The 13,952-nt window shown below is 38.3% G+C and overlaps 1 protein-coding gene across 2 annotated transcripts in view, besides 2 other annotated features; it reads left to right on the forward strand.

Moving 5' to 3' along the window:
- The window catches only part of ZNF407 (zinc finger protein 407), a 467,802-nt gene that overhangs the window by 390,189 nt on the left and 63,661 nt on the right, over positions 1 to 13,952 (forward strand). The gene's annotated exons all lie outside the window — the stretch shown is intronic.
- Positions 6,689 to 7,190: an enhancer, noted in NCBI's record as "H3K4me1 hESC enhancer chr18:72706703-72707204 (GRCh37/hg19 assembly coordinates)". NCBI's record gives its function as "activates a minimal SCP1, AML or CMV promoter by ChIP-STARR-seq in naive H9 embryonic stem cells {active_cell/tissue: H9 hESC(naive)}" and the evidence as "EXISTENCE:reporter gene assay evidence [ECO:0000049][PMID:30033119]".
- Positions 7,191 to 7,690: an enhancer, noted in NCBI's record as "H3K4me1 hESC enhancer chr18:72707205-72707704 (GRCh37/hg19 assembly coordinates)". NCBI's record gives its function as "activates a minimal SCP1, AML or CMV promoter by ChIP-STARR-seq in naive H9 embryonic stem cells {active_cell/tissue: H9 hESC(naive)}" and the evidence as "EXISTENCE:reporter gene assay evidence [ECO:0000049][PMID:30033119]".

Genomic DNA, 13,952 nt, shown 5'->3' on the forward strand with positions numbered 1-13,952 from the left:
TACAATAATGAAGACATATGGATGCAAGAAACATAGTCGGAAGGCCACAAATAGACCCACACAAGCGTGTGGTCAGTTGATTTTCAACAAGATGCCAAGGAGGAAGGAATGATCTTTTTAATTAACGGTTCTGAAATATTATATATCCATATAAAAAAATGAACCTTAACCCTTACACCATTCAAAAAATTGCCTCAAAATGGATCAAAAGCCTAAATATGAAAGTTAAACTTCTAAACCTTTTGGAACAAAACATAGGAGAAAATTTTTCTGACTTTGAGATATTCAGAGATTTCTTGGATAGGATGTAAAAAGCACAAATGGTGAAAGAAAAAGAACTGATAAATTGAACCATCAAAGTTGAAAGCTTTTGCTCTTCAAAAGATACTGTTAAGAAAATAAAGAGAAAAGATATATATATATAGATAGATATAAAATAGTTTTTATATATTTTTATATATATCTGGCCTAGTTCTTGATTCTAGAGTACTTAAAGAACAAATCACCACTCAAAAATAAGACAAAAACCCAACTAAGAAAAATAGCATTGTTCAATTCTGTAACCCTAAAACTTGAAGTATAATAATAATAAAAAAAATAAATAAACAAACAAAAAAAATAGCAGAAGACAATGTGCAAGTGGCCAGTAAGTAGATGAGATGGTGTTCAATGTCACCACCCTTCAGGACAATACAATTAAAGCCACGAGGAGATGCCACTACATACCCATCAAAATAGCTAACAATCAAAAGACAACCTATACCAAATGTTAGTGAGGATGTAGTCATCTAGAATTTTCAGACATCGCTGGGGAGAGTGTGAAATGGTACAGCCACTTTACAAAACAGTTTGATAAGTTCTTATAAAATTAAACATACACCTATCCACTATATAACCTAGCCATCCGACTCCTAGGTTTTTAACCAAAATAAATGAAAAGATGCATCCACCTGAAACCTTATCCATGAATGCTCATGGCAACTTTGTTCAAGTAATCGAAAGTTAGAAACAACTCAAATGTCTATCAAAAGATAAGTAAATAAACAAGTTATGGTCAATGGAATACTATTTAGTAAGAAAAAGGCCTGAACTAACAACATGGATGCGCCTCAGCAATGTTATCCTGAGAGAAAGAAGTGAGACCCAAGCAAATACTACTCTACGATTCAATTTATGAAGCTCTGGAAAAGACAGATCTCTAGGGACAGAAAGCAGATATTTGATTGACAGGATGTGGGAGGTTACTGACTACAGGAGGACACTGAGGAACATTTTGGTGTCCAGGATATGTACATTATCTTGATTGTGGTGGTGTAACCACAGGGCTGTATAGATTTGTCAAAACTCAGCACAATGTGCAAGCTACATGGGCACTGTTTATTGTATATCACACAGACCTCATAGAGCATTTAAGCGAGAAAGGGCACATGCCAAGAATTATCCTACTTCCTTTCGAAGATTCTATGAACTTAGCATTTTAGATATTGGAATTACATTTCTTGGCTGGGGGCGGTGGCTCACACCTGTAATCCCAGCATTTTGGGAGGCTGAGGCAGGCAGATCACCTGAGGTAAGGAGTTCGACACCAACCTGGCCAACATGGCGAGACCCCATCTCTACTAAAAACACAAAAAATTAGCCGGGCATGGTGGTGGGCACCTGTAATCCCAGCTACTCAGGAGGCCAAGGCAGGAGAATCGCTTGAACCCAGGAGGTGGAGGTTGCAGTGAGCCAAGATCCCACGACTGTACTCCAGCCTGGGCGACAGAGCGAAACTCTGTCTCAAAAAAAAAAAAAAAATTCTATTTCCTAATCATAAAAAAATGAAATTTTGATGCTTTTCTGTGATAATTATTTATATACTTTTCATTTACCATCTTATATGTTAAATCCATGAATTATGAAAATGATATTCTCTGAAAATCAAACATCTAATATTCAGCAGCTTGTACATGTCCTGTGCTGCCTAAAATTTTTAAACATCATTCTTTACCAAATTCAAAAGTATTATCTTTAGAAAAATTATTGGAGATTTCTATGACACATTATTGATGTATTTTTAAGGATAATTGCAGAAGTGGGGGAAAGGCAGTAAACATCAGTGAAACTTCAGGTACTCGGGGTAATAGAATATTAAGCATAGAAAAATTAAACGCTCTGTGCAGATGTCAATTAGTTCCTTCTGCGAATCTGATACCCATCAACAAATGGAGTACTTAGTAACTTACCCTAGCTCAACCAAGTTTACTGTGACTGGCTTTGGTTAAGTTGGACAATAGCCAAAGGAATCTAAAATGCTACAGCAAAATTGTGGTCATTAAAGTAAATTTTGTCTGAATTTTATCTTTTTTTCCCTTAAATTTCTGGATTTGATTCACTTTGACACTCTTCTGATTCTGTTCTATTTCTGCATGCTATTAAACAATTTGAAACTGTATATGACAACAGAAATCTCTTTCAAAAGTCAAAGAATTGACAGGGTTTCCTGAAAATTTCAACCAAAGTTTTTATAACTTCACAGATGATTCATACACAATGTAAAATGCTAAGTGTAGCTGAGTTCCTTTTGAACTTATTTTTGCAGAAGTGATTTTTGGGAAACTGTGAGCTTTCATAAATGCCACATTAACTCTTCTTACAGAAGCAAAACAAAACCTCACACTCAACTCTTGACTTTGGCATCCAGTCTTCAGACGACCTCTGATGTATATGGGTGGGATTTGTGCACCATACAGCTTTGCGAAATGTGAAATTGCCCTATGGATGAACTGCAATCTGTTCTTTTGTGTATTTTACTAAAGAATGTCAGCTGAACTCGTGGGGAAGGGGAAGTGCTGATATGTCCTCCCTTGTCTTCAAGACACAGATGGCCCAGATATGTTTGTGGCTGAGTGTAGGTGAAGGGGGTGCTGAGCTGCCATTCAACAAAGATGGATGAAATCGGAGAAGTTCAGAGGAAAAAACTGGCATACACCCAGGGGCATTAGCATATGAAACCATTGTCTGATGTGCTAGTTCAGCTTACTTGCACATTGAATTTTCAGTTAGGTTTTTTTCTAGTTTATTTAATTACCTGCTTATAACAATTCAAGCAAGTCATGAGAAAGTTATAACTTATGAAACTAAAAAGCTGATAGCACGCAGATAAAACCTGGAAACCAAAATCTGAGGGTAGTAGAAGGGACTCCTGTAGAAGCTTCACATAGCTGTTTGTGTGCACACACTTCGATTTGGGTTATGTTTAACAGCAGTGCCTTGCAAGATGAAACTGCTGTGGTTTTCAGTAGCTTTTACCTTCTGTATATCTTTGATTTCTAGAACTATATATTTTAAATGTTGTGGCACCAATAAAATTTTGAGAATTGTAAATCTAATAGCAATTAGGCCATTTTCTTTCTAAGATGAGTCATCTCTTTTACAATGAAGAGAAGGCAAGTCTTGTGTGGCAATTTTTCTATTTAAAATGGGCTGCTAGCATTATAGCATATACATATATATTCTTCTTTAAAATCAATACCTATTCGGTATTGGTCACTAAATTTAAACATGGTTATTCTTAACATTTCCTAAAATTTATTCTTACCTTAATGGGCTTTCCATATATATTATGAAATAGGTTGAGTTCTATGTTCAGATTTCTCTAACATTTCTGAGCCCACTGATTCTTCACTTGTGGCCATCACTACATCACTTAATCTAGTTCACCCACTTAAACTCTCAGATGTATCCCAGACTCAGCATTTGAAAACTAATGTTCAGCCAAGTCCCTTCAGGAGTATTCCTTGCTTCTAGTTAGCCTTCTCAAACAGTTTTGAGAGAAAATAATAGGTCCAAAACTTACTTTTCTACATGAACCTTGTAGGTCCAAAGCTTACTTTTTAGCATGAACCTTGTATAAATTTGAACTCTCCAGCTTCGCATGGCACCAGGAAAGCTGAAAGGATATCAGGGTTTTAGGACTTCCCCACTCCTCACAATGGAACTGCCACAGCCAGTGAGAACTGAGGTCATGCATCTTAGAGCAGTAGCATAGGGGAGGGATGAAGATGTATCCAGGCTGAAGCCAGCTGCTGTTCTGAGTGCCCACGATACATTCATGAGCAAAACGAGGAGTCTTGGCCTTCTGGAGTATTTATTCTAGCAGAAAGAGACAGACACTGAACAAAAGGCATAGTAAATAATTACATTCCTTTTTAAAAGATAAAGTACTATAAAGAAAAGACAGTGGAGAAAAATAGTGGGGGTTGGGAGTTCTGGAGATGGCCCTGGGTGGGGAGGAGACAGGCAGTTACCATAGTCGATTGGAAGGTCTGGGTAGGCCTTGTTGGGATGGAGACATAGGAGCAAGGAGTTGAAGGTAATTAGAGAACTCGTTGTGGGTCCGCCTGGCACAAGAGTGTTCTGGGTGGAAAGAAGAACCAGTGCAAAGTGAACTGAAACATCACTGGTGTGATGGGGCAGATTGAAGGTGGGGAAATCCGCATTTCCATGGTGAGCTGAGGATTCGTGGATAAGAGCTGGATGACATCAAGAAGGGCTGTGAGCGTCACGGAAGGTGGACCTTCAGACTTCTGTCGAAGAGAAAACTACAGTGAGGGGTCTCCCCTGGGACAGTTGGAGTTTGTTTATTTGCAATAAGGCAAGTGTTGTTGTTTGCAGAAAACTGTGACAAGGCCCTTTGCATAGAAGTCTCACAGTGATTTTTGGGATGGGCACAAAAGAGTGAACATTCTCACTTCAATTTTAAGAAGACAAAGATTCAAACAAAAAATAAGCAAAAGAAGATATTTAAGCAGCCAAAAAGCACATGAAATGATGCTAATCATCGCCAGTTTTTAGGAACGTGAAAATTAAAACTATAATAACATGCCACTGCACACCCACTAAGATGACTGAAATTAAAAAGACTTAAGAATGCCAAACATTAGTGAGGACATGGAGGAGCATCTGGAATTGTTGGGCATTGCTGGTAGTACTGTAAAAATGGTACAGCCAATTTGGAAAACAGTTTAGCCATTTCCTGTAAAACTAAACATATACTTACTTACCATATGACCCAACGATTCCACTCCTAGGAATTTACCCAAAAGGGATAAAAGCAAAAAGCATATATTCATGCAAAGATTTATATATGAATATTTATGATAGTTCTATATGTTTATAATAGCTATTTATAGTCAAAAGCTAAAAATAACTCTAGTGCCCATCAACAGCAGATGAATGGACAATTCATCCGTAACATGGAGTATTAGCAATAAAAATGAAGGCACTATGGATGCACTACATTATGGATGAGTCTCAAAAGTGTGCTAAGCAAAAGCGCAGACACAGAAGAGTGCACTCTGCAGTTCCACTCATTTCCCGAGCCGCAACAGGCAGTTCTCATCCATAGGGTTGTAAGCCAGAGCTGTGTTTTCCTGGGGCTGGGACAGGGGACCTCAGGAAAATTCTGAGGGTAATGAAATTATTCTATATCTTATTTGTGGTGGTGGTTACAAGGGTGAGTAGATGTGTCAAAACTCATTGAGCTATACACTTAGAAGTGTATCCAATTAACTGACTATAAATTACACTTCAGTAAGGTTGGTTTTAAAAAATGTTTGAAGCTAAACTGTTAAGAAACAAAAAAATACGCAGCGATTAAGTAATAGTTAACAGTGTTCCCTAATCTAAGGAAAGCTCGTCAGAAAACTGTATTTAGGGCTGGGCTTTAAATGGTTCAAATGGTGAACACTCCTTTGGGTATAGGATATGGAAAAATACTTTGTAATTTAAGATGCAGAAAAACAATTTGAATCAGGTAAGCTCTCATTTAGGAACATTCTTCTAAATGACTGGCGTGTATTTTAATAAGTGACTGAAGTGTGAGAGACAAAGACTGGTGCACTATTCCAGAATAAAGGAGATTCACAGACACGCCACATAATGCTGTGGTCCGGTTTGGACCCTGCGCCAGAATTTCTTCTTCTTTTATCTGTTTTGCTATAAACCACATTGTTGGAACATCTAATGAAATTAGAATAAGGTCTGTAGATTGGAGAATATTAGTGTATCATTTTTAAATCCCACAGTTTTGTGCATTGTTCTGTGGCTGTGTAAGAGAAGGTCCTTGTTCATAGGAAGCTCACAAGTATTCATGAGTAAAAGAGCATCAGTTCTTCAGCTTACTCCCAAATGGCTCATAAAAAAAAAATGTGTATATATAGAAAGAGTAGATAAATGCTGTAAAACATTTACAATGAGATAAAAGTATAAGAGAGTAGTTCTTTGTGCCATCCTTGCAACTTGTAAATTTGACATTATTTCCGCTTAAAAAGTTACAAAAAATAAGATCAAGATCCAGGTTGTGTCAAAGGGCTGTTTGCTGAAAAGCATGCAAATTTCCTGTGAGGAAATAACTGGGAAGAGCCACAGAAGTGATGAAAATGAACATTTCCAGAGAAATTGTGTCTGGAAAGTCTGCATCCTTGTTTAAAGCAAACAGTCAGGAAGGAGGCCAGTGGCAGAAGGGGAGGCAGTTCGACCCTGAATGTGGACTGTCCCTGCTGGTGTGTGTCCATCTGTGCAGAGAGCAGGGCTCATGTTTAGATTCTCAAACGGTAGGGAGTATTACAGTGCAGTTCACTTTGGACACGTGTCCTATGACCAGGAAACCATATGCAAAAGACGGCAGCGGCACTCAGGACCCAGCGACAGGAAGAATAGATGATGGAAAGGGCCGGGGAGGGCACTCGTGGGCAGTGAGCGGCCACAGCACAGTGTGGACAGAATTCTGGGAGTGACTTTGAAGACAGAGTTGAGATTTTTTTCTACAATTGATGAGGGTGGAAGAAGTTTATTATTGATTTATCAACTATCTAGACATAAAAGCAACGAAATTTCAAGGAGACGAAATGGTGTCCAAATGTTAGAGAAGTGACAAGCCGTGGTTCTGCAGCTGTATTCATTTTAAGCAGGCTAGAAATCTTTACTCAATGTATGTATTTTCTTTCTCTGACTTCCTGTGTGAAAAAACAGTTTGACACCCTGAAATGACTCACATCCTGAATATGTTGCTAATTGAATATTTATCGAAGGCTGACTTATATTTGCAAATTCATGGAATGTAAAGGACAGTGGAGCTAGATCTGCGTGACTGCAGGGGCAAGTGTGAACGGCAGGGCCTGGCTTGGGCGATTTGAGTGTGCCAGGAGCCGTGGCACCTTAGGGCTAAAGGAGACCACATCCATGGTAAACAGCATTCTGGATGCTGTGTGGAGAGTGGCCAGAGGGTCACAAAAGGGGCAGCCAAGAGACAGGTTCAGAGACTACTGCAGTAACCGAGCTGAGGGTGATTCGATCCTACACTGGGTTGCAGTGTGGGTGGACCAGTTGTGAAGTGGGCAGGTTCTAAAAAAAGCATTAGGCTATCAAAGAAACCTTAACACTGATCCTCACAGAAAATAGTATTTTATTCGCTTCCTAAATTATTTTGCTGACCGTGCTGTTTGTAGCTCTGGGTCAGCTCTGTCTCACTGTGCATTTGTTATATTTCTTTTTTCTTTCTGTTTTCTAGATTATTATCAATGAAGTCTTAATCTTTTTTAATGAAATCATTTGGAAGAGGCTTTGGTGGGAGAGGCAGAAGGGAGGGTGACAATGCTGGGCCCTTCCTCTGTCTTTTTCTGGGCAGTTCATTCGGCTGTGCTCTGAGGCTACCATTTCTTGTTTAAGAGATACCGAGGGACTTGTGCTTGGCTCTGCTTTTTTCCTTAGACAACTTTGTGTTAGATCAGGGAAATCTATATGCATTCAGAGTGAGTGGTTTTGTTATTTTTACTTTGAGAATTTTTAGAATTGTTAGAAGCTTGGGATTATAAGGCCATGTATTCTTAATATATTAAAATTCAGTTTTAACCACTGTGATGTGAATACATGGTCTTTGGAAGCTTTTAAAGTAAATTCTTTCAAAATACATGATAAACTCAGCATTAGGTATCATATCTAGAAAACTACTCAAGTTTGGTTTTAATACTAAACAAATAGTGTTCAGTATTGAAATGTTTACAAATTGAATAGTAGGATTTTATGTTAATCAGCCCGCTGAAAACGGAGGCAGGACTTTATGAAACAGAGAAGGCAGCTTCCGTAAGGTAAATCCTACTAGATGAGGCAGGCGCCAACAAGCATTTTCTTAGTTTTTCACAGCGGTGGCTTTTGAGGCTGTAAAATGATGACTCTGGCCTCCTGTGTGAATAAGAGCATTTAAGGTGGACAGTTTGGGGTTTCAGTTAGTCACCTTCCTTGATTTGAGAAACGCTTATCACTTATTATGGCAGTAAAAATGATTGGTTACTTACAGTCTTAGGACATATTTTAACTGTGTTACTTGGGCATTCTGGATGTGTTTTTATTTTAAAATGTATTTAGAAAAAGGAAATGAAGTCAGGAGGTGAACGGCAATAAGTGTTTAATAGTCGCAGATGCACAAAAGGCAGGGCTCTGATTTCGTTATTCAACCTTTGTGCACAGGCAGAGAGCAGCTCAGAAAGTGATTCTTCGAATATGGGATGTAGAATTAGGTTACAACTTCTGCTGATGAAGAAAATGTGAGGTTCCGAATGGACATTAGACATTTTAGATTAGAAAGAGGAAAGGAAAGTAATGAGTCCTATTTCTAAATGAATTTAAAAAGCAATCTGATTTTAGTTCTTGCAAGGCAGAGAAAATAAAATAAAAACTATCGTACTTTATTTACTAACCAATGAATTGAATTGTCTGCCTTTTATTACAGATGTAAAGTAAAGACTATGAAGAGACAATCATTTTTGTAGCTATCAGACTTTCAGTAACATATCTCTTGTGGTTTAAATAACAGATAGTTTAAGTGTTTTTCCATTACCTTTGTGTAAATGAAAAATGCATAAAATATTTTAGCAAGGCAAAGTAATCCAAGGAGATTGTTATTTTGTGTTACAAATTAGGTTATTTCTGTCATAAAATTAAAGAAAAAAATCAACGTTAGGACATTTCAGCTTAATATCATTTACCAGAAGGCATGTGTAACAGATTTAATGAGCTAGCAGGTCACCTGAATCCAGCTGTTCCCGACCAGCTTTATGAAACAGAGAATGCAGCTAGCAGTGGGAGGTAAGCATTATTACAAGCTCTCAAGGAGTTACAAAATCGATTTCTGCTTGAATGAATTAATTTAGATTATCAATTTATAACCAGCTACACGAATCCCATCAACTCAACAGTTCCGTGAATGATCAGGTTCAGTCCTTGTAAGGGCTTCACAATTAGGGGCCTCTCGCAGCTCTGCAGTTAGCACCTGCCTGATGGCTCTCCTGACAAAGTTACTGGGCCCAGCAAAAGGAAAAGGGAACTGCTTGTTCAGGCCCATCGCAGACGTAAAATACAGCCTCTTGAAAAAATAGACATAACAAAAACTTAAGTAAAAAAAATAAATAAAAAGACTAAATGTGCATGTTTGAGATTTTTGTCCTTGTGCCCTTTTTGTGTCCATGGGCCCATGTGTCCGTGGAGTGGTTCTGACCATTCCAGGTGAACTTTAAAATCACCCCTCTGCACTTTGGAATGTTGGGGACAGAGCTGTTTCCTTCAGACTCATTAGAAAATGACCAGCCAACTGTGGCCATTTTCTTCTCCTATAAAGGCTGGGGTTCTAAGCATTTGTTTCATGGTGAAAAGTGGATTCAACCTGCTCTTCTTCTTCCTGCGTAGTCACTTTTTTTTACTTCTACCTCTGCTTACCCAGCTGTCTAAAAACGAAAAATGCTCATTCTGATCCACAATACTAGCCATTTCTTGAAGACATTTTTTCTACTCAATCTTAAATTGATCACATGGCTCTGTTGTTCTTCACTTGTTTTCTGCAATCCTGATGCCTTACACTTGTACCCTGTGTGGAGATCACTCTCACAGCCATGATCTTGTGCAGCCTTTGCAGCACCTGCGGAATGTGCAAGTGATGTTCCTCATCTCCAAGATGAGGAGCCTGGTGCCAGCTGCCAGTGGGACCGCTGCACCCACGGGCTCACCAGTCATCCAAGGAGGGCTGGGATTTGAACACAGGCCTTCAGCTGCACAGTTAAGAATCCTTTTTTTCATGGGATGATGTTTCTTGTCAATAAGATTTAATTCCCTGAGGCAGAGAGAGTTTTAATTCCTTTTTCTTTAGTTTACTCAGCTTAGCTCAGTGAAGGGCAAAGCAAAAACACCAAGAAAAATTACTTTTTGAATTAAATGAATGTCTTCTTTGCCTAGCCCCATCCTTCCCAGGCTGTCTGTCAGCTCTTGCCTCCTTCAGTGTGGGAAGGTCCCCTGTCCTATCACTACAGGCCTTTGATGGGTCAAAATACCTGTCTGTGTTCTCCTCTAATCCACTTTTCCATATAATGCTTTCTTTCTTTCACATAGATCATACTTAGATCATCACTTCTATGTTGATGTACATATTTTTTTCAATTAACGAAGGACATGAACAGACACTTCTCAAAAGAAGACATTTATGCAGCCAAAAAACACATGAAGAAATGCTCATCATCACTGGCCATCAGAGAAATGCAAATCAAAACCACTATGAGATATCATCTCACACCAGTTAGAATGGCAATCATTAAAAAGTCAGGAAACAACAGGTGCTGGAGAGGATGCGGAGAAATAGGAACACTTTTACACTGTTGGTGGGACTGTAAACTAGTTCAACCATTGTGGAAGTCAGTGTGGCGATTCCTCAGGGATCTAGAACTAGAAATACCATTTGACCCAGCCATCCCATTACTGGGTATATACCCAAATGAGTATAAATCATGCTGCTATAAAGACACATGCACACGTATGTTTATTGCGGCACTATTCACAATAGCAAAGACTTGGAACCAACCCAAATGTCCAACAATGATAGACTGGATTAAGAAAATGTGGCACATATACACCATGGAATATTATGCAGCCATAAAAAATGATGAGTTCATATCCTTTGTAGGGACATGGATGAAATTGGAAACCATCATTCTCAGTAAACTATCGCAAGAACAAAAAACCAAACACCGCATATTCTCACTCATAGGTGGGAATTGAACAATGAGATCACATGGACACAGGAAGGGGAATATCACACTCTGGGGACTGTGGTGGGGTCGGGGGAGGGGGGAGGGATAGCATTGGGAGATATACCTAATGCTAGATGACACATTAGTGGGTGCAGCGCACCAGCATGGCACATGTATACATATGTAACTAACCTGCACAATGTGCACATGTACCCTAAAACTTAGAGTATAATAAAAAAAAAAAAAAAAAAAAAAAAAAACAAAGGTAAAACTTAAGTATTTTGTTTGAAAGTTGTAGGTTTATTTATACAAACTGTGATTCGTGTCTGCTTTCCCCTGGCTTAACCCTTTGGACATCTTTTCATTGCTACCATAGCCACATGGCAGAACATATTTCTGAGAAAGAAAATAATTTAGAGTCTACTCCAGGAATATAGGAATATTGCTCACGAATGTGCCAGACTTTTAATTTCTTATTTTTGAATCATTGTATTGAAGAATAACAGTGAACTCAAATCTCATAAAGATTGCTGATAGTGTAAAAGAGAATGATTCTTATACTTTGATGCCCACAAAAAGAATAAATTTATATGAATATGAGTCACTTTAGGAAATACGTCTTGATTATTCTTCCATTATTGAAGAAATTGGCCTGATCAATGTAGCCAAGATGACTGCATTTCAACATTGTCACTTTATTTTGCAACTTTAATTTTCAATGATGTTTTGACACAATGTGTTACATGAAAAAAAGTAACCTAGGTCTGAGGGCATGAATCTGAACAGCCAGTGGCTAACATGATAGCTTGTGATTTCCCTGAGAGAACATAAATAGAATATCATGTAATCTTAGAAAATCATAAGAAAGTTCTTTATGGATTGATACCTGATATATTTAAATAAGCAGAAAAGGCAATGTAAAGAACTCTGGGTGCTGGTGCTGTGGATTTGTATTACAAGGAAAGAGTACGCATAAATGTATCTGCTCTTATTTCCATAAAATATCTGTGGGCGGGTCCACAGGAAACCGATATGGCAGGTTTGTTCTGGACAGGGAAACCCAGTGTCAGGGGGACGTGAGTTGGAGAGCGATGTTTTTACTGGATGCTCATTTGTACCTTTTGAGTTTTGAACCAGTTGAATGTATTATCTATTCAAGACAGATTAATTTTTAAATAACATGCTACAGTCCTAGCACAGAGGATTCTTTTGAGACGTAAAACAACGGTTGTGAAAGTGTTTTGTAATTTGTAAATATACTAATATTATAATTGCAAAGAGTTAATGTTATTCAGCTGTCACAGTTGATTCTGTTACAAAGGCTGAAATGGTCATATCCGTCAGGGCGTGATCTCTTTTTCTTGGTGCTCCTCAAACATCATCAGCCTAGTAAAATTTAGACCAGTGTGATCCTCTGAAATAAATCTGTCAAAGTTGACAATAGAAAATGTTTTCCTTGATATGGCATCTCTTCAGATGGCTAAAGCAATAACTATGCAAAAAAATAGCTATCTGGTTTAAGTTTTAAGATAAAAGATGCATCTATTTTTAATCTTTCATCATTACTCTTTTTTTCTGCATCATTTTTATATATTTTATTAATGCAAATTTTATTGTATTCACTATTAAGTTGTAATTAATATTTACCTGCCTATGTGCTCAACCTTATACTAAGAGCATTGTGGAATATAAACTAGGATGAAGTAATTGTGCTTCACCTGAAAGATCATACATATGTGCATCGAATGCTTGGAGAATGATTATAATAATCAGAATGATGGCATCAACGTCACATTAAGGTGCGTAGATAGCCTTTAGTAGGGTGCAGTGAAATATCCTCACAGACCCTGTCTCCCTGCACCCTCCTCCCCATTTGATTTATTACTCATTTCCAGAATTCTCTTTTTGAGGGCCCCTACCAGAAATTGGTCATTTCTGTTCAGACTCATCAGTGCCTATCACATGATGTCCCACCAGAAGCTGAGCTTTCAGGGCCGGAGCCCAGCCTCCGCAGTGTTTGTTTCTCCAGGGCCTGGCAGGGTTTCTAGCACAGACTGGGGAAAATGGGTGGGGAAGATAGATATCTTTGAAGTGCCGACTGTAACAATAGGAGTTCAACACAGGGAGGGACATCATGGGTTGGAAAAATTAGTAAATGGGACAAATAATATTATAAATAGAATGATATCTTTTTATGAAATGTTTCTAATTTGGCATTGGACTGAAAACCTTAAGGTTTTATTTTGAGCCAGAAAGTTATATGATAAACGATATCTATTAGGGGGAGAAGACCTTTCTCTGTAATTTTTATCATCACAAACCATTATTAGACAACAGTTAACAGTCCTCTCTGGGCAAAGAGCACATTTTTAGGTTAAGTGAAAATGAAAAATGCCAGTTGTTAAGGTACTGAAGAGTAGTGAAGTACTATGAGAAATAAACATAGAACCATAGGAATAGAGCAAAAGGAAACAGAATGCGTTCAACCCAGCACACATGATGGAATCTTTCCTCAAAAGTTGTCTGAAATGCCAAATATCTCCAACCCTGTATTTCTGTCAATTCGCATGTGAAAATCAGGAGAGACATTAGCAGTAGCAACAGAGAATTCAGAGTTTTGCAAGCATATTTTATAAAGATGGAGTACAGAATAGAAATTGAAATATAGTAGGTTGTATGTGGAATCTGTGATTAGACAGGTCGTTCTCACCTGGAGGAGATTCTGTCCCCCGTGAATATTTGGCAATATTTGGAGACATTTTGGGTTGTCCCACCTTGGGCAAGGGCAGTTTTGGGAGAGGAGGCTACTGGCCTTTAGCGGGTGGAGACCAAGTGCTGCTGAACATTCTGCAATGCACAGGCAGCCCCCATACCAGAGTCACCCAGTCCAGAATG

The sequence above is a fragment of the Homo sapiens genome, chromosome 18 (genome assembly GCF_000001405.40).
Source record: "Homo sapiens chromosome 18, GRCh38.p14 Primary Assembly".
Lineage (NCBI taxonomy): Eukaryota > Metazoa > Chordata > Mammalia > Primates > Hominidae > Homo > Homo sapiens.